General features: G+C 41.2%; 1 annotated feature.

The window, feature by feature from the left end:
* Positions 388 to 903: an enhancer, noted in NCBI's record as "OCT4-NANOG hESC enhancer chr10:37014374-37014889 (GRCh37/hg19 assembly coordinates)". NCBI's record gives its function as "activates a minimal SCP1, AML or CMV promoter by ChIP-STARR-seq in naive H9 embryonic stem cells {active_cell/tissue: H9 hESC(naive)}" and the evidence as "EXISTENCE:reporter gene assay evidence [ECO:0000049][PMID:30033119]".

Below are 20,846 nucleotides of genomic sequence, written 5' to 3' on the forward strand. Positions count from 1 at the left end.
AAATGGCTAAATTTTATATATCCACGACCATATTCTAGCACAGCTCTAAGCCTTTTCATGCTCTGAAATAGCTACTATTGTTACCTCCATTGTAGAGAAAACAGATGCCAGAGGCTGTTTTGGAAGGACCGTGGAAACTGATTGACTATGAAATTGACTTGTATGTTTCGGACTTAAAGGTTTTTCCTGCTCTGCTCGTTACATTTTCACATTTTAGATAACATACCTCTTAAAATAGTGGTCCTTTTAAAATTTGGAGGGATTCCTCTTCCAATTTGAAGTTTTTTCTTGCACTAAACATTTGGTCAGACTAAGATCATCCGCGTTTTATGTCAGTTTAAGTACATTTTTAGACATTGTTCACGTAGAAATGTAAATATGAGCTTACATTGTGTGTAAAAGGAAATAATAGCTGCTTACAACCATTTTTGTCTCATAATACAAATCCAAATCAATATGTTATTGGAAATGCAGGCTGGGAGGGGAAAGAAAAGATGCAGAGAGAAAAGCCCCATCTCTGCTTGGAGTTCAGCCCTGGGTCTCTTTTCCCTTCCTCCTTCCTTCTCACAGCTGTCACAGTGACAGAAGAACACAGGGCTGCCTTTTAGTGACACCTGCTGGGACAGACCTGGCAGAAGAGATTGCAGATTTGGTTGTTTCTTGGCTGCCTCTGCCAGCCCCTGAGTCAGCACCCCACTCCATTTCATGCTGAGCTTGGACAGCTCAGGTTTAAAAAATTCCCCCTTCCCTTGGGGCAACTGCTTTCCAGCCTCCTCATCATTCCTAAAGGAGAATGACCTACATGCCAGCATGACAGAGATCCAGAAATTTATAGAAGCTTCATTGTGAGCCTAAATCCTTAACAGGGGCTCAAACTGCCAAACACCAAATGAAGAGAGAGGTTTTGCAGTAAAGCAGGAAGTCATTAAAATAATGAATCACCCGGCTGGGTTTTGAGCTCCTTTCCCACTAATTTAATGGAAAGATTTATTGTCTTCACAATTTACGCTTTCCTAAATTTTGCATAAATTTATCATTTATATCTTCACATAAGTAATTCTTTGTGTTTTATCACTGAGCAAATTCTATGTAGCAAATCAATGCTATATTTTGGCAAACTCATGTTATAGCTTAGAAAATACTACAGCATTGTAAACTGAGGGCAGCATTAAGCAAATTATATTTACCTTTGTGACCGCAAAACAATGATTCAATGCTTTTCCCATGAAATTTGTCTTTCGATATTGGTAGTGGTTTTTAAATAAAAAACATGAATTACATATCGATTAAAACTTTACTATTGTTTTTAGAAACTGTGACTTCACCAGTTATGAGCGGACTTGAAATGTGTAGTTTTTAAGTTTGGAAATCCTTTGTAGTTTCATTTACTTTTCCAGGAAGAAAGTGAGATATTTTTTGCTGCTGTTGCCTGGTTTTTGTTTGTTTTTTGACCATAAACAAAACTTAATGGAGCCCCAAATCTACTAACTCAGTCCTCCTTTGGTAACATGCCTTTTTCTGATTTCTAGACTTTAGTTGATATTTGTGACACACTAGTTCTATTATTTAAAAATTTAGAAAAGTACTACAAGAGTAAGAAGCAAAGAGCATGAGCCACCGTGCTGGGCTGCTTTTAATTTTTGATATCAATCTTTACTTTTTTTTTTTTTTTGAGACAGAATCTCGCTCTGTGGCCCAGGCCAGAGTGCAATGGTGTGATCTCGGCTCACTGCAACCTCCATCCCCAGGGTTCCAGCGATTCTCCTACCTCAGCCTCTGGAGTACCTGGGATTACGGGCAACCGCCACCACGCCTGGCTAATTTTTTTTGTATTTTAAGTAGGAACGGGGTTTCACCATATTGGCCAGGTTGGTCTTGAACTCCTGACCTCAGGTGGTCCACCTGCCTTGTGTCTTGGCCTCCCAAAAATGCTAGGATTACAGGCATGAGCCACCATGCCTGGCCTTTTGCCTATTTTTATTTTAAAATCATCTCTTCTTTTCGATGATTTTTTTTTTTTTTTTTGAGATGGAGGCTCCCTCTGTCGCCCAGGCTGGAGTGTAGTGATGTGATATCGGCTCACTACAACCTCCACCTCCCAGGGTCAAGCAGCAATTCTCCTGCCTCAGCCTCCTGAGTAGCTGGGATTACAGGCACCCACCACCATGCCCTGCAATTTTTATATTTTTAGTAGAGATGGGGTTTTACCATGTTGGCCATGCTGGTCTTGAACTCCTGACCTCAGGCGATCCAGCCACCTCGGCCTCTGAAGGTGCTGGGATTACAGGCATGAGCCACCGTGCCTGGCCCCAGATTTTATTATTCTTAAAAAGCCAATTGAGAATTCCTAGCATACTCACTTAAAAGGAAAATTTAGTTTGCTATAATATTACTCATATTTGCTATGGTGAATTCATCTCTAGAAAGGTTCTTTGTGTAATTATTTTATTATCTCTCTAATAGTTAATTCTCCACATTTTGTAATATTTTTGCACACTCACCTTGAATGGGAGGTTCTCTACATGTCTTAGTCATGTAACTAACAGAATCCACCCTCTTTCCCCACTAAGCACACTTACGTATAGTCAATAAAATATGGGCTGTGTGCGGTGGCTCACACCTGTAATCCCAGCACTTTGGGAGGCCGAGGTGGGCGGATCACGAGGTCAGGAGATCAAGACCATCCTGGCTAACACAGAGAAACCCCATCTCTACTAAAAATACAAAAAAATTAGCTGGGCATGGTGGCGGGCAACTGTAGTCCCAGCTACTCGGGAGGCTGAGGCAGGAGAATGGTGTGAACCCGGGAGGCCGAGCTTGCAGTGAGCCAAGATTGTGCCACTGCACTCCAGCCTGGGTGACAGAGCGAGACTGTCTCAAATAAAATAAAATAAAATAAAATGTCAGTTCTTCATGGATATTCTTTGAATCATCTAAATGGGGACTCTTGCTAGAAATAGTGAATCATTAATTCTTCCAACTACTGTACTCCTTTCCAATATATTGTCTTACTGATTTTTCACCTTTTCCTATTTCTATCCTTCTTGTTCTACTAACTCATCTGTCATTGGCCTTATTCTATAGCCAACCTCAAATTTCAGTCCACACTAGCTGTGAACAGCACTCAAATTGCTGTTGTATTCTTAAAATATAAATTTACTTCATAAAGCAAAAGTGAATTATGTGCATGTTACAAAAAATATTCATAGCAGAGATAAGATGGGATGGTATTTGCTGGGATGCACAGCATCATTTTTTCCAAATTAATTTCGATCAGAATTCTCTCCTCCCTACCGCCATGCATAGCTGTTCACTCACCTGTTATGAACGACATCTTAAGTTATTTTTCATCTTATCTGATCATATGACTTGAATTAAGCTCTAGATCTGCTGAGGGCAAACACCGCCATGGAATTAAATTTGCAAGAGTGAAGGAGGAGGAAGTGGGAGAAGGTGGGAAGAATCTTCAGACTAGGGTTCAGATCTTATACCTGTAGAGGGAAAGAGGGAAGGAAGGCTGATTGGGGTAGAAAGAGACTGCAGCATGGTTCCAAGAATGCTTTGGCCAGGTCAGTGGGGACTCCTCAAATTAAAGTTGGCCATTGGAGAATCTCACAACTTACTGGCAAAGTCCTCACATACAATCCTCACTGTGCTCTATGACTGTGGAAACATGACTGCTGCACAAGTGTAGAAGTGAGTCCAGAGACAGACAGGGCTAAAGGAAGGCTGTCATTGACTTATGCTGTCCAAGTCAGGATATCTGCATTGCAAATTTCCATGGTCATTAAAATCCATTATCCCCACCTCCAAATCCCAACACTGCACAGACATATTTGTCCAAACACGTTCTTCATACCAGTGCTTCCAAAATTCCCATAAGCCTCTCTTTCCCAAGGGGAATCTTAGAAAAGGAAGGTTAATGAGCCCATGCTATAGCGATTGGTCTCAGAACTGCCTTTGAATGCCCAGTTGTGAGAGGGGAACAGAGAAAGAGAGAGTATAGGAGTGGGGAGAGTGTGTGTGTGTATCAGTGTGTGTATGTGTGTGTGTGTGTGTGTGTGTGTGTGAGAGAGAGAGAGAGAGAAAGATTATCTCTGCTTCTTTTGTGGAAAAGCAGCCCTACCTCCTCCTGCTAATCAGGGTGTATTCATCCTGCTGGATGGTGATGTATTTCTTGTCTTTTGGTTGCTGGACCTAAGGAATCTAAAGCATGCAACAGATAACCTTCTTTAGAGAGCAAGACTTGCCTGCCTTCCAGATCCCAGAGCTGCACTGATGAGAAGCATGGGAGAACCTTAGAAGATTATTGGGAACACTTGTAATTGGGGACATTCCTGTTTCTACCTCTTCTTTTCTGAACCTATAGATTCTTCCTATGAAGGAAGAATACCATATAAAGATCTGTGATGGAATATGTATAAAAGATGGTGCCCCCTGCATTCAGAATATCTCCTTTGGCATGGTGCTTCAGTTTCATCTTTAGAATGTTTCTACAGGGCTCCATGAGTCCAGCTGCTTCTTGAAGTGTGTATGTAATACAAATAGTAGATTACATGGTCATGGACCCACTTCTGCACATCCTTAACTGTGAACAGGGAACCCTGGTCAGATGCTATATCATGTGGGATTTTATGCCTGTGGATCAGGAATCCCGGAAGCCTCAGAAAAGTGGTCCTGGCTCAGGCTCTGTGAACAGAAGTGCCAAACCCTCTGAGGATGAACAGGTGGTCATTCAAAATCAAAAGACTTGTCATGTCAGAGTCTCAATATTGATTTACCTTGCTGAAAAGTAGGACAGTCAGAGGCAGCAGTAGTTAGATCAACCTTGATACATAGGAGTCCAGGCTATGGGGCCCATATGTATCGTCCATCTCTGCCAATGTGGTCATATGTGTGACTCCATATGTGTGACTCCATATGTGTGACTGTTGTGCTTACTGTGGGAAAGCCAATCTCCAAGGCTGGCAGCTTGTCAAGTCATTTTGTCTAATTGGTTATTGAGTGCCTCTTCTGTGGTGAGTGCTTTCTTTCTTTTTTTTTTTTGAGATGGAGTCTCTGTCTGTCTCCCAGGCTGCAGTGCAGTGGCGCTATCTCGGCTCACTGCAACCTCCGCCTCCTGGGTTGAAGCAATTCTCCTGCCTCAGCCTCCCAAGTAGCTGGGATTACAGGTGCCCACCACCACAGCCAGCTAATTTTTGTATTTTTAGTAGAGATGGGTTGGCCAGGCTGGTCTCGAACTCGTGACCTCAGGTGATCCGCCCGCCTCAGCCTCCCAAAGTCCTGGGTTTACAGGCATGAGCCACCCCGCCCAACCCCGAGTGCTTTCTTGTGAGTGTTAATGAGTGATACAAGATTCTTTACCCTCCATGCCTGCTCCTGCATGTCCACTCAGATGCTTCTAACCCGGCTTCCTTGTCTCAGATATTTCAGTTCTTTTCTATCTAAGCCTCTAACCAGATGATTCACCCACTGACCAGGGCAAAGAAATCTGTTTATATTCCTGCCTCAGGCCACGTTTCCTTCTATGTAAAGTAGATGGCTGGGGCTACTGCTCCCAGTGCTGCTAATTGGGAAGATTTTCACTTCCTTCTGTCTTCCAGAGTCACTCTTGCATTGGGCTGTAATGCAACTACACTTTTTTTTTTTTTTTTTTTTTTGAGACGGAGTCTCGCTCTGTCGCCCAGGCTGGAGTGCAGTGGCGCATCTCCACTCACTGCAAGCTCCGCCTCCTGGGTTCACGCCATTCTCCTGCCTCAGCCTCCTGCATAGCTGGGACTATGGGCGCCTGCCACCACGCCTGGCTAATTTTTTGTATTTTTTTTTAGTAGAGACGGGGTCTCACCGTGTTAGCCAGGATGGTCTCCATCTCCTGACATCGTGATCTGCCCGCCTCGGCCTCCCAAAGCGCTGGGATTACAGGCGTAAGCCACCGTGCCTGGCCGTAACTACACTTTTAAATAGAGATTTCCTCTTTCTCCCTCCTTTGGATGGCCACAGGGACACAAATGCAGACACAGGTGTGAGCTGAAGGAAGGTTGCTGGTGCAAACATGGTAGGTGACACAAGGATTTGGGTTACCTGCTATTCAATTTATTCACTTGCTGTTGTCTTGCTTGGCCTTTGTCTCATATTTCTGATTTCCACCTCACGATGAACTACTTCTTGCCCCTTCTCGTGTCATGACTTGGTGTTTCCAATAGAACTCAGCCTGCAAGAGACAGTGCCAGATGCATGATCGAGCACAGCATCTCTCCCAGGTCCAACACATAATTCTCTGCTATGGAGGGCGTGGCTTTGTTTCAGAATCCCAGGAGCTGGTGTTGTAATCCTTTCACTGAGAATTGCCATGTGGGCCACACTGCTCCCACCACTGACACCTTCAAGAATACAGGTCCTGCCAGATCACATGGCCCAAGCAGCAGGCTGCTCGCACTGCAGCCTGGACCTGCTGTAGAGCCCTGTCCTGCTCTGGACTCTTCAAATCCTGCAGCCTTCCTATCTCCCTGACTTATACTGTGGCTTGCTTGTGTTATGTTGTTGAGTCGTATGAGTTTATGTTTTTATAGTTGTATAGATATAGATGGATAGATAAAGATATGGTTTGAGAGGAAGAAAAAAAGAGAAAGAAAAAGAATTTGACAAAAGACTTTATTGGGAATATATAAAAAACATATCAGACTCCATAGTAAGAAGTCAAACAACCCAATAACAAAATGGGCAAGAGATTTCAGTAGACAACAACAAAAAATATATGAATGATCGATAAACACTAAAAAATGGATTATTAACCACCTGGGAATGGAATTTAAAATCAAAATGTAATAACACTGCACAGAAACTGTAATAGATCCAAAAAATGTCAATTCTTAACGTTTGAGAGGACATACAACACCCTGAATTATCATATTTAGGTGGGTGTATAAAGTAGATAATCAATTTGGATTGCAGTTTGGCAGGTTTTTTAACAAACATACACTTACCATTTGACCCAGAATATTCCATTCTTAGATACTTACTCAAGAGAAATGAAAACATGTGCATACAAATGAAGGTAGCCGCTTTACTTGTAATAATCAAGGAATAGAAACATTTGCAAATGGTTCACCAACAAGCTAAAGGATAAACATATTTTGGTATTTCCATACAATAGAATAAAACAGAATGAACCACTGATTTTTGCAACATAGGTAAGCCTAAAACATACTGAGAGAATGAAACAACAGTAGCCATATTATACAAGTTTATTACTATGAAATTCTGGAAACTGAATTTATAGTGGCAGGTTGCAGATCAATGGGTGCTTGGGGTCAGAGGTTTGGGTAATGAGTACAAAATAACTTTTGAGGTGATAGCTTCAATATGCTGATTGTGGTCGTAGCCACATAACTTTATATGTTTGTACTTAATTTGGATGTATTTTATTGTATTGCAAGTAAACCTCAGTTAGGATGACTTTTAAAATTATTAGATTCTAAAAAATTAATTTGCTTCCATCCATTATATTTATTCACAAATCTTACGATAGTATGTTTTGGAACACCTGTAAAGACACAACTGACATATTCATAAAGGAAATTTCCTTATGTAGGATGGATTTTAGGGGAAATGGCTGAAACAAGGAAATCTGCATCTGCTTATCATAATTCACTGCAAAAGATCGAAATGTGTAACTAGCAATCAACTTCAGCTTTGATTATCTTTCATAGCAGCATGGATCAATTATGTTTACCCAGTTGGCTATCTCTACATGCTAAACTTATATTGCATACATGCCTCTGAAATTCCAGTCATGTATAGTCTATAATTTGCACCTGTATTACACAATTTGTATACTCTTCCACTTTAAAGGCGGGATTTATACCTGGAAAGGGACTCAAACTACAACTATGATCCAATTCTGTTCCAAATTTTGTATACTATGACTATTCTGGGAAATGATTCAATAGTTTTGTTTCATTTGACTCTTCCTGCAGACATCATGTGTTGAAGTAAACCTGTTTTTTATGTTCAGAAAGTAGCCTTTTGACTGGAGAGTTCTAGCTTTTGGAAAACATGTACTCAAAGCAGAAGTACCTAGTGTGTTGAGGGAATAAAACCACAGCCTTTCGGCCGGGCACCGTAGCTCAGGCCTGTAATCCCAGAACTTTGGGAGGCCGAGGCAGGCAGATCACGAGGTCAGGAGATGGAGACCATCCTGGCTAACACGGTGAAACCCCGTCTCTACCAAAAATACAAAAAATTAGCCAGGCAGGGTGGCGGGCACCTGTAGTCCCAGCTACTCGGGAGGCTGAGGGAGGAGAATGGCGTGAACCTGGGAGGTGGAGGTTTCAGTGAGCCAAGATTGCACCACTGCACTCGAGCCTAGGCAACAGAGCAAGACTCTGTCTCAAAAAAAAAAAACAAAAAAAAAAAACCAAAGCCTTTCTGACCTAAGTAAAGTGAAACCTTGTCATCCTTGATGACAAACATTACATGACACACGTGTTGCGTTTTCAGGGAGTTCTTCTGCAACTTATTTCACCCCCAACGAACTGGCATCATTCAAATCTAATTGTATAATTTTACTGTAATTAGTGGGTCCGGAATTGGTGGGTTCTTGGTCTCACTGACTTAAAGAATGAAGCCGCGGACCCTCGCGGTGAGTGTTACAGCTTTTAAGGTGGCGCGTCTGGAGTCTGTCCTTTCTGATGTTCAGATGTGTTCGGAGTTTCTTCCTTCTGCTGGGTTCGTGGTCTCGCTGGCTCAGGAGTGAAGCTGCAAACCTTCGCGGCGAGTGTTACAGCTCTTAAGGCAGCGCGTCTGGAGCTGTTCGTTCCTCCTGGTGGGCTCGTGGGCTCGCTGGGCTCAAGAACAAAGCTGCAAATCTTCGCGGTGAGTGTTACAGCTCATAAAAGCAGCGTGAACCCAAAGCGTGAGCAGTAGCAAGATTTATTGCAAAGAGCGAAAGAACAAAGCTTCCACGGTGTGGAAGGGGATCTGAGCAGGTTGCCACTGCTGGCTGGGGCAGCCTGCTTTTATACTCTTATCTGGCCCCACCCACATCCTGCTGATTGGTAGAGCCCAGTGGCCTGTTTTGTCAGGGCGCTGATTGGTGCGTTTACAATCCCTGAGCTAGATACAAAGGTTCTCCACCTCCCTATCAGATTAGTTAGATACAGAGTTTCCACACACAGGTTCTCCAAGGCCCCACCAGAGCAGCTAGATACAGAGTGTCGATTGGTGCACTCACAAACCTTGAGCTAAACACAGGGTGCTGATTGGTGTGTTTACAAACCTTGAGCTAGATACAGAGTGCCGATTGGTGTATTTACAACCCTTGAGCTAGACATAAAGGTTCTCCACGTCCTCACCAGAGCAGCTAGATACAGAGTGTCGATTGGTGCACTCACAAACCTTGAGCTAAACACAGGGTGCTGATTGGTGTATTTACAATCCTTGAGCTAGATATAAAGGTTCTCCACGTCCTCACCAGACTCAGGAGCCCAGCTGGCTTCACCTAGTGGATCCCGCACTGGGGCTGCAGGTGGAGCTGCCTGCCAGTCCTGTGCCATGCGCTCGCATTCCTCAGCCCTTGGGTGGTTGAGGGGACTGGGCGCCTTGGAGCAGGGGTTGGCGCTCGTCAGGGAGGCTCGGGCCGCACAGGAGCCCATGGAGGGGGTGGGAGGCTCAAGCATGGTGGGCTGCAGGTCCCGAGCCCTGCCCCGTGGGAAGGCAGCCAAGGCCCAGCGAGAAATGGAGCGCAGTGCCGGTGGGCCTGCACTGTTGGGGGACCCAGTACACCCTCCGCAGCCACTGGCCCGGGTGCTAAGTGCCCCATTGCCCAGGGCCAGCAGGGCTGGCTGGCTGCTCCGAGTGCGGGGCCCACCAAGCCCACGCCCACCCGGAACTCCAGCTGGCCCGCAAGTGCCGCACACAGCCCCGGTTCCTGCTCGTGTCTCTCCCTCCACACCTCCCTGCAAGCTGAGGGAGTGGGCTCCGGCTTTGGTCAGCCCAGAAAGGGGCTCCCACAGTGCAGTGGGGGACTGAAGGGCTCCTCAAATGCCACCAAAGTGGGAGCCCAGGCAGGGGAGGTGTCGAGAGCAAGCGAGGGCTGAGGACTGCCAGCACGCTGTCACCTGTCATTAGGATGCAGTTTTAAAATTTCCAAAGTACCTTTATGCATATTTTTCTCAAATCAATCCTACAGCCACTTCATGAGAGACTCGTAGGTGGGAATGTTATCCCTATTTCACAACTAAGCAAGCAGAGTCCAAGATTTGTTAACTTTTTTTTTTTTTTTGAGACAGAGTCTCACTCAGTCGCCCAGGCTGGAGTGCAGTGGAGCGATCTCCGCTCACTGCAAGCTCCGCCTCCCAGGTTCACGCCATTCTCCTGCCTCAGCCTCCGGAGTAGCTGGGACTGCAGGCACCCACCACTATGCCCGGTTAATTTTTTTGTGTTTTCAGTAGAGACAGGGTTTCACTGTGTTAGCCAGGATGGTCTCCATCTCCTGACCTCGTGATCCGCCTGTCTCGGCCTCCCAAAGTGCTGGGATTACAGGCGTGAGCCGCCGCGCCCGGCCAAGATTTGTTAACTTTTTAGAGCTGAAGTTTGGTCCACTATTTTATGTCATCAACCTTTGATTTGCTGTGCTCTTCCCGTCAATTTAGAAAAGAATTTACCAAAGGTTGTAACATGTAATACAATTATTTTTTTCTCTGTACTTGAAAACAGAAACAATGGTGATTATGTATAATATATGGAGTATCTACTGATTATTTTAGATGTCACTGAATTTATAAATTGAACTGAACATATAACCTCAGTTACTTTGCCAAAATTCCTTCTTTCAATATTACATAAACTGTAGAATGCGGAAGAGGCACTTTTAATTTCTAATTATTTAAGCGAGAAATGGAAAGACTCAACACTTCCTTTTAGGCTCAGACATAAAATTTCTGGTTGATACATCACCAGGGATTGTGATTTACACATGTATGTAAGTGAAACTTTCCGAATAGACAAACTTACAGGATATATGGAATATCATTGTATTTACATACAGCACTATCTCAGACATCATTCCAAAAACTAAAGGACAATGAGGAAATATTTCCAAAATCCATATTACAGTGCTTTGGGGAGGTAAAAGAGAGAATGTTGCAATATGTTTTCCTGTTTGACTCAAGCTACATCTTAGGAGATATTTTAAACAGTGAATAAAATTTCTGTGTCATAGTGAAAAGACATAAGCCAAACTACAATTCTCCAAAGAAATCTGAAATGAAGATTACTAAATACAACCTCCTGGATTTGGTTTTACTTACCTAGTATGTTGACTATGTCTGCTTATGGTTTTCTTACTTATGCCTACTTACCACCTTTTAATTAAATGAGCTGATAAAATTTCATCTAAGTGCAGAATTTCCTTCGCTTGACATGAACTCTTTGTTCTACTGTGAGTCACCTGCCCTGGCTTTCTATTATGTGGATGTCTACAAAGGGATGTGCTTGTAACTCAAGTATAAGCAGATGGTTCTTTTATTGTTATAAATCAAATTGGTATAACCTGTGATTGGGTTTGATGTGGCCCCAGTTTTCTGAGGCCTGTGAAAATTGCTAGGTTGCTCTTTTTCATTTTTTCTTATCACCTTAACTGGAGTTGGAGGCTCTTGCAAGTCCAGGGCAATGATGTCTTAGGCAACCTCAGTTGTCTAGTGTGACTTAATAAGCCTGATGTATGTAGCAGAACCAATCTTTGCTTTTATATATAACATATGAATTGATGTGAACCTCATTCTCTAGGTTGCAGGTATTGGATTACTTTGTAATTCTTTATTATAATAAGCAAGGTGTTCATCTGATTTTTTTTAACTGTTAATTCCACCCCTTTTCTTACTAGTTTTCTAATGACAATTGATGGAGAAAATAAATAAACCCTAAATATCACAATTCTAAAAACTGCACTATTTTGAGATTGTAAAATTATTGGCTTTTGGTGTTTATTGATTCATGTCTGGTTTTTAGTAGGATTATCAAACCTTGTTTTGGCAATGAGTATAGAGTGCAAAATGCAAAGCCGTTTGCCATGATGTAGATGCTCACGGTATGCTCCTACATCTAAAGATACTATTCTCTGGCAGGGTGCCGTGGCTCAAGCCTGTAATCCCAGCACTTTGGGAGGCCAAGGCAGGCGGATCACGAGGTCAGGAGATCGAGACCATCCTGGCTAACACGGTGAAACCCCGTCTCTACTAAAAATGCAAAAAAAAAAAAAAAAAATTAGCCGGGCGTAGCGGCGGGCGCCTGTAGTCCCACCTACTCGGGAGCCTGAGGCAGAAGAATGGCGTGAACCCGGGAGGCGGAGGTTGCAGTGAGCCGAGATTGCGCCACTGTACTCCAGCCCGGGCGACAGAGCAAGACTCCATCTCAAAAAAAAAAAAAAAAAAGAGATACTATTCTCCAACATAAATCAGGCATATAGGAAATACAAACATACAGGAAATGCAAACATCTTAGAGTGTACTTACACAAACCTAGATGGGATAGCACAGAAAATATGAACTATGGCAGAAAAATACATTAAGTTAGCTGAATGACATCCCTAATAAAAATCTGACTCTATTCTAAAACTGGGTAATTTATGTTTAGGTAGATTAACTTAATTTTTTCATGTAATCTCCAGGAACAAATAAACCTTTTCCACAGTTGCACTTAACAAACTAAAGAATTAAAAGGAGAAAGAACACTAGTAATAATTACTCCCAGCTAGGCAGGTAGCTCACGTCTGTAATCCCAGCACTTTGAGAGGCCGAGGGGCGGGTCACCTGAGCTCAGGAGTTCGAGACCAGACAGGCCAACCCGGCTAAATCCCGTCTCTACTATAAATACAAAAATTAGATGGGCATGGTGGTATGCACCTGTAATCCTAGCTACTCCATTGGTTGAGACAGGAGAATTGCTTGAACCTGAAAGGCAGAAGTTGCAGTGAGCCGAGATCGTGCCACTGCACTCTAGCCTGGGTGACAGAACAAGAACACGTCTTAAAAAAAAGAAATACTTCCTACTATGCATGCTTACAAAGTTTTCTATTCAAGACCAGGCTGGTCTCGAACTCCTGACCTCAGGCAATCCGCCCACCTCAGCCTCCCGAAATGCTGAGATTACATGGGTGGGCCACCTCGCCTGGCCCCATTTATCCCTCACTTTATAACCTGAATCAAGGTTTTTAAATTTTATGTTAAAGATGGCCGGGCGTGGTGGCTCATGCCTGTAATCCCAGTTTGAGACCAGCCTGGCCAATATGGTGAAACCCTGTCTCTAATAAAAAATACAAAAATTAGCCAGGCTTGGTGACATTTGCCTGTTTTCCTAGCTACTCAGGAGGCTGAGGCAGGAGAATCGCTTGAAGCCAGGGGACAGAGGTTGCAGTGAACCGAGATGGTGCCACCGCACTCCAGCCTGGGCAACAAAAGAAACTCTGTCTCAAAAAAAAAAAAAAAAAAAAAAAAAAAAAGTTAAAGATTTTTGAATTTTGTTAATCTATTTTGTTTTCCTTCATAAAATCATGATCAAAGCTAGAAAGAACATAAGAAAGTATAGCATAGTCATTAATAGAAAGAGCTCTACAATCAGCTTAAATTTATTTTCTCTCTTTTCTAGTTATGTGATCTTAGGCAAGTTAAATAAATTACCTGTGTTCAGTTTATTTATTTGTGAAATGGGGAAAATAATGTTGCCTGTCTCTGGGATAAGATTGTGGTGAGGGTGAGTAACAGGTATAGCAAGCATAAAGCATAAAGAGGGCATAGGAATTGCCCTCTCTGCATGCCCCTGCATATGTGTGCATACAGGCATGCATCACTTGATGATGGGATATGTTTGGAGAAATGTGTCATTAGGCAAATTTGTCATTGTGCAAACATCTTAAGAGTGTACGTACACAAACCTAGATGGGATAGCCTACTACACTCCTAGATTATATGGTATAGCCTATTGCTTCTAGGCTACAAACCTGTACAGCATGTTACTGTACTAAATACCGCAATTGTAACACAATGGTAGGTATTTTTGCGTCTAATCATAGAAAAGGTGCAGTTAAAAAAAAAAAGGGTACACTTGTAGAGGGCACTTAACATGAATGCAGCTTGCAGAGCTGGAAGTTGCTCTGGGTAAGTGAGTGAGTGAGTGAGTGGTGAGTGGATATGAAGGCCTAGGACATTATGGGCCCTGCTGTAGACTTAAGCAACACTGGATGTGCACTTAGGCTATATCAAATACATTTTTAAAATTGTTTTCTTTTATCAATAATAAATTCGCTTTAGCTTACTGTAACTTTCTGACATTACACACTTTTTTTTTACCTTTTTGGCTCCTTTGTCATAATTCTTAGCTTAAAACACAAACACATTGTACAGCTATAAGAAAATTTTTTTTTCTTTATATCCCAGTCTACAAGCTTTTTGCTATTTTTAATTTTTGTGTTACTTTTTAACTCTTTTATAAAAAACTAACACAAACACATATTAGTTTGGGCCTATACAGGATCAGGATCATCAACATCATTGTCTTCCACCTTCATATCCTGTCCCGCTGGAAGCTCTTTGGAGCAACAACACGCATGAAGCTGTCATCTCCTATGATAACAATCCTTCTTTCTGGACACCTCCTGAGGGACATGCCTGAAGTTGCTCTACTGTTCAGTTTATTTATTTATTTTTTAATAAGTAGTACATTCTCAAAAAGTGATAACCAGGGCTGGGCGTGGTGGCTCACCCCTGTAATCCCAGCACTTCGGGAGGCCAAGGCGGGTGGATCACTTGAGGGCAGGAGTTCAAGACCAGCCTGGCCAACATGGTGAAACCCCATCTCTACTAAAAATACAAAAATCAGCCAGGCATGGTGGCGAGCACCTGTAATCCCAGCTACTCGGGAAGCTGAGGCAGAAGAATTGCTTGAACCCAGCAGGTGGAGGTTGTAGTGAGCCGAAATCACACCATTGCAACTCCAACCTGAAAATAAATAAATAAATAAATAAATAAATAAATAAATAAATAAACAAAAAAAGAATAGAGTAGTAAATATATAAACCACTAATATAGTCACTTCTTATCATTATCATCTATTATGTTCTGTAAGTAATTGTATGTGCTAGACTTTTATAGCCTTGGCAGCACAGTCTGTTTACACCAGCATCAGCACAGACATGTGAGTAATGCATAGTGCGATGATGTTATATTGAGAATGACATCACTAGGAAACAGGAATTTTTCAGCTCCATTACAATCCTATAGGACCAATATGTGGTCCACGTTGACTGAAATGAATTTACACAGTACATGACTTTGTAAAATTACTAGCCCTCAAAAATCAGTTGTATCTTCAACATTTCCTACCTCTGCAAAAGGCATCACTATCCTCCCAGTTACCCAGGCATAAAACCTTGGAATTCTATCGAATTATTTTATTTCCTTAACATCTCATGTTTAATTAGTCACTGATTCCCATCAATTTTCTCCTATCATGTTTATTAGTAGCAACACATTATTTCTCCTAGAAAAAATAATTTCCTAGTTTAGGCTCTTAATTTAGCCTATTTTTAAAATACCTCGAAGTTTAACATATACTCTTTATTTCTCATTTCTTAAAATATTTTCTACATTTTGCTACAGTTAACCTTTCTAAAGCATAAATATCTCATTTTGTCACTTGTCTGCTCAAAAAAACCGTAAAATCTCTTCTTGGTCTAGAAGGTAAAATTGCAATGTTTGGCATGATGGATATAGAAATTCTCATTTCTCCCTTTTCTTCTTTTCTCCTTTGCCCCCACATCTTTTCTTCCATGTTCACACCAGTACCCACTGTCCCAGGCATACAGAATTCATTGTTTCATGAACAGAGCCAACACATTCTAACTACCATGCATTTACTCAAACCATCTGGCCACCTGGAATTCCCTACTATCCCCCATAAAATTTAAATTAAAAAATTCCAGTATTCTGTTCTCTCTGAAGATGTCCCTGAACCTTTATTGAAACTCATTGACATATCCTTTGGTTCCAGCAGCCTTTATTGTATATGCCATAATTTAGCACATACATTACTCTGCCTTACATTTTACTAAGTTAGTGACCTCTCTCCACTGATGAAACAGTGTCAGGATTTTTTTCATTTTTGTATTCCCTGCCGGTCCACAGAGTGCTATGAACATATGATTTGCTAAGTTAATTTTAAATTGACTTAAACTTACTGGTGAATTCACCGATCAACTGTTCAAGTATTTCTTTTAGAAATGTCTTGCCTTGGCCGGGCGCGGTGGCTCACGCCTGTAATCCCAGCACTTTAGGAGGCCGAGGTGGGCGGATCATGAGGTCAGGAGATCGAGACCATCCTGGCTAACACGGTGAAACCCCCTCTCTACTAAAGATACAAAAAAATTAGCTAGGCGTGGTGGCGGGCACCTCTAGTCCCACTACTCGGGAGGCTGAGGCAGGAGAATGGTGTGAACCCAGCAGGCGGAGCTTGCAGTAAACCGAGATGGCGCCACTGCACTCCAGCCTGGGAGACAGAGTGAGACTCCGTCTCAAAAAAAAAAAAAAAAGGAAAGAAAGAAATGTCCTTGCCTTGATACATTTTATATTCTAAAAAAAATTAATTTCATTTTAAGAACAATATCTTCCAAAACAAAGAAACAAAAACTCCCATACACTTCTAATGGTGGTTATGGGCAACATTCAAAATGGCACACCAATTGTAAAAAAAAAATTTCCCATGAAAGCCAGAGGTGAAAAAAAGATCTCAGATAATAGTATGACTAAAAGCAGAGGAAATTATATACAATGCACAATTTTAATGTCAATATTGTCATTGTTTCCTAGGTTAGGGGAGAGTATAACCGCATTTATAAACTTGTTCTTTTTGTCTCTCCTCATGTTGACCTTACACATAGCGTATTAGGCTGTTAAAATAACAAAAGGAAGGAGAAAACGGTATATTGAAATCCAGCATTTTCTTACAACAATTCCTTACTGTGAATTTTGAATGAAAATTAAATTCTTTAATCACTAGGAAAGACTCTGAGTGTGCAGGTGTTCCTTTCAGCTGATATAAACATTGATAAGATCAAAGCTTTCTCTAAATTATCTGTCTTACCAAGTTTTGACTGAATCTCTGAACAAAATCCTGTAGCTTCTCTTTATTTTGGATAAACCTTTGATCCTTTAAAAATATAGGCATGGCCAGGCGCGGTGGCTCATGCCTGTAATCCCAGCACTTTGGGAGGCTGAGGTGGGCAAATCACAAGGTCTAGAGATTGAGACCACCCTAGCCAACATGGTGAAACTCCATCTCTACTAAAAATACAAAAATTAGCTGGGCATGGTGGTGGATGCCTGTAATCCCAGTGGCTCGGAAGGCTGGGGCAGGAGAATCACTTGAACCTGGGAGGCAGAGGTTGCAGTGAGCCGAGATCATGCCATTGCACTCCAGTCTGGGCAACAGAGCAAGACTGCATCTCAAAAAAAAAAAAAAAAAAAAAAAAAAAAAAAAAAAAAAAAGAAGAAGAAGAAGAAGAAGAAGAAGAAGAGGAAGAGGAAGAGGAAGAGGAAGAGGAAGAAGAAGAAGAAGAAGAAGAAAAGAAAAGAAAAGAAAAGAAAAGAAAGAAAGAAAGAAAGAAAGTCATATCTGGCTAAGGAAATGGAGAAAAAAAAAAGGCAAAAAGGCAAAAAAGTTAACCACTACTTGCACTGTAAAATGGGCTTAAGTTTAAGGTTTGGCAAGTGTTTAAGAAAAGCATGCATTAAGCTCATTTTCTGTGGAGACAAGTCTCTGGGCATTTAGTTTTGGTTAAGGTAAATACTTTATTTAAAATTTTAAAGACCTTAGTAATGTAAACAAATTATGTTGAGTTTGGACTTCTCTACAAAATCTATGTGGAATCTTAGGAAAGGAAGAGTGAAAGGATACAGTAAGGACAATTTAAGTGGTAGTTCAGCCTCAATCCTAAGCATAAGCATAATATGCTGCTTTTTCTTTTTTTCTTTTTTCTTTTTTTTTAGACATAGTCTCCTTCTGTCCCCCAGGCTGGAGTGCAGTGGTGCCATCTTAACTCATTCAATCCCCATCCCCCAGATTCAAGCGATTCTCCTGCCTCAGCCTCCCAAGTATCTGGGATCACAGGCAGGCACCTGCCACTCTGGCTCGTTTTTTGTATTTTTAATAGAGATGGGGTTTCACCATGTTGGCCAGGCTCGTCTCGAACTCCTAACCTCAAGTGATCCACCCACCTCCGCCTGCCAAAACGCTGGGATTACCGGCATGAGCCACTATGCCCGGCCAATATGTTGCTTTTTAAAAATGAGTTATTAGTATTAGTTTTCTTCTGTTGCTAATGGTCATTTCTATCTTCACTTAATTTACTCTGAATCCCATGCCACTTTTGCATTCCAGGCTAAAGTTTGGATTGAAGGAAAGGATAGCAAGTCAATTCACAATCTGATTTTTTCAATACAGAGACTGTACATGTTTACTAAAAAGAATAGCCCTTAATTCTTTTTTAAAAGCCCACAGCAAGCAAGATAATTAACAATTTTTACATGAACAAATGGCTTACAATATTTTAAAAATCTAGAGAACACTGATACCATCTTCAGTTATTGGCAATGGCATATTATCAATTCACTTTTCCAAAGAGATAGAAGTTACTCCTTTTGCCTTAGATCAGACTTCTTAAACTGTCAAATGAAGTAGCTGAGTATAACTTACCACCCACAACTTTTATATTTAGCCTCCTCTCTTCATTTCCTTTGTATTATGTGTACTGTAGCCCTTATATTAATATTTCTTTATCTTACACATATTTCTTTCTTAAAAATGTGCTTTCATTTAGATGAGAAATACAATTTTAAGGGAAAAGTTGACTCATGCCTAGTCCTGTATTTTTTTTTAATTGCTGATCTGTCCTGAGGAAATTAATGTTGCCCTACTGGGCATGATGCTGTCCCTTTAGGGAGATTCCTGCAAGTTATGACAGCTGGGGTTTTATAGGTGTCCACATTAAGCCTTTCATTGAGAGCAGAGATTAACTTGCAGTTGCCTGTATGACACAAATATATCTAAGAAATCAACATAATCTTTCAAAAACCCTCTGGCTAATACTAGTGTGTAGCCACTATTAATACAGTGGTTCTAAGTTTGTTCCAGGATCTCAAAGCCTTAAATCATTTCATGAACGCCTACTGCAAATGTCGGCATATAATGCTTACAAGGACACAACTGGGTGTCTCACACTGTATTATTTTAGTTTTAACCCACTTGAGATCCATCAAGTTATCTGTCATAGAACACATGAAAGACCCCTGTAGAGAAGTCTCAGAATAAAAAACGGGCCTGGTTATGTTCCTTGGGAGAAGAGCAAAGAAAGCATGGGTTTACATTCTCTGTCTTTAAGAAATTGTCATTGTAGCTGTTGTTTGTTTCAAAATCTATGTACAGTCCTGACCGACCAATTGACAATGGCTGCCTGACTCAGCCATTCAGATATGTTACCATAAATTCCCTGAGTTTTCTTTATAGCAAGAAAAGAAATCAGGACATTCGAAAAGTAATACACTGTGGATATTTACATGGCTAGAGTATAATTTTCTCTGCTTAATAATAAAACTTAATAATAAGCTTTATAATACAACTCTCATACAAATACAAAATAAACCTCTGTCAAAATTTATTTTACTTACTCCTGAGGAAATCAGTAGGTGGGAAAGCTGGTTCCAAGAGCAAGTGAAAAAAAAATTACAGATATTTTTCCTCCAAAACAAGAAATGTTAGAATAAGACAACTATGTTAGAAACAATACAGATTAATGACAACAAATGGTACTGGGAAAACTGGATACCCACAGGCAAAATATGAAGTTTAGGCCCTTAACTTATATAATATACAAAAATAAACTAAAATGGATCAAATACTTAAAAGTAAGAGCTACACCTCTCAAACTCTCAGTAAAAAACATAGGAGAAAATATTCTTTATGTCAGATTTAGCAATGATTTCTTAGATATGACACCATAGGTACATAGAATGAAAAAAATAACAAATAAATTACTTTTCATCAAAATTAAGTTTGGTGCATTAAAAGTCACCGTCAAGACAGTGGAACAACAACTCAAAGAATGGGAGAAGATATCTGCAAATCACATATGTGATATGACATCAATATATGTGGATACAATATGTGTAATAGAATATATAAAGAACTCTTGGTTGGGTGTGGTGGCTCAGGCCTGTAATCCCAGCCCTTTGGGAGGCTGAGGCGGGTAGATTACTGCAGGTCAGGAGTTCAAGACCTGCCTGGCCAACATGATGAAACCCTGTCTCTACTAAAAATACAAAATTAGCTGGGCGTGGTGGCATGTGCCTGTAATCCCAGCTACTTGAGAGGCTGAGGCGGGAGAATCACTTGAACCTGGGAGGCGGAGGTTGCAGTGAACTGGGATAGTGCCATTGCACCCCTGCCTGGGCAAAAAGAGAGAAACTCCATCTCAAAAACAAAAAACCTCCTACAACTCAACAACAAATAATAAAGGGTTCAATTTGTTAAATAGGCAAAGGACTTGAATAGATAATTATCTAAAAAAGCTATTTGAATGGCCAACAAGCACATGAAAAGAGGCTCAATATCACTAGCCATTAGCAAAATGCAAATCAAAATCAAGATGAGATATCATTTCATACCCATTAGGATGACTATAAAAAAAAAAAACCCAGAAAATAACAAGTGTTAGTGAGGATTTAGAGTAAATGGGAACCCTTGTGTATTGCTGGTGGGAATGTAAAATGGTGTAGCTGCTGTGGACAACAGTTTGGTGG

Source organism: Homo sapiens, chromosome 10 (genome assembly GCF_000001405.40).
Source record: "Homo sapiens chromosome 10, GRCh38.p14 Primary Assembly".
In the NCBI taxonomy this organism is placed as follows: Eukaryota; Metazoa; Chordata; class Mammalia; order Primates; family Hominidae; genus Homo; species Homo sapiens.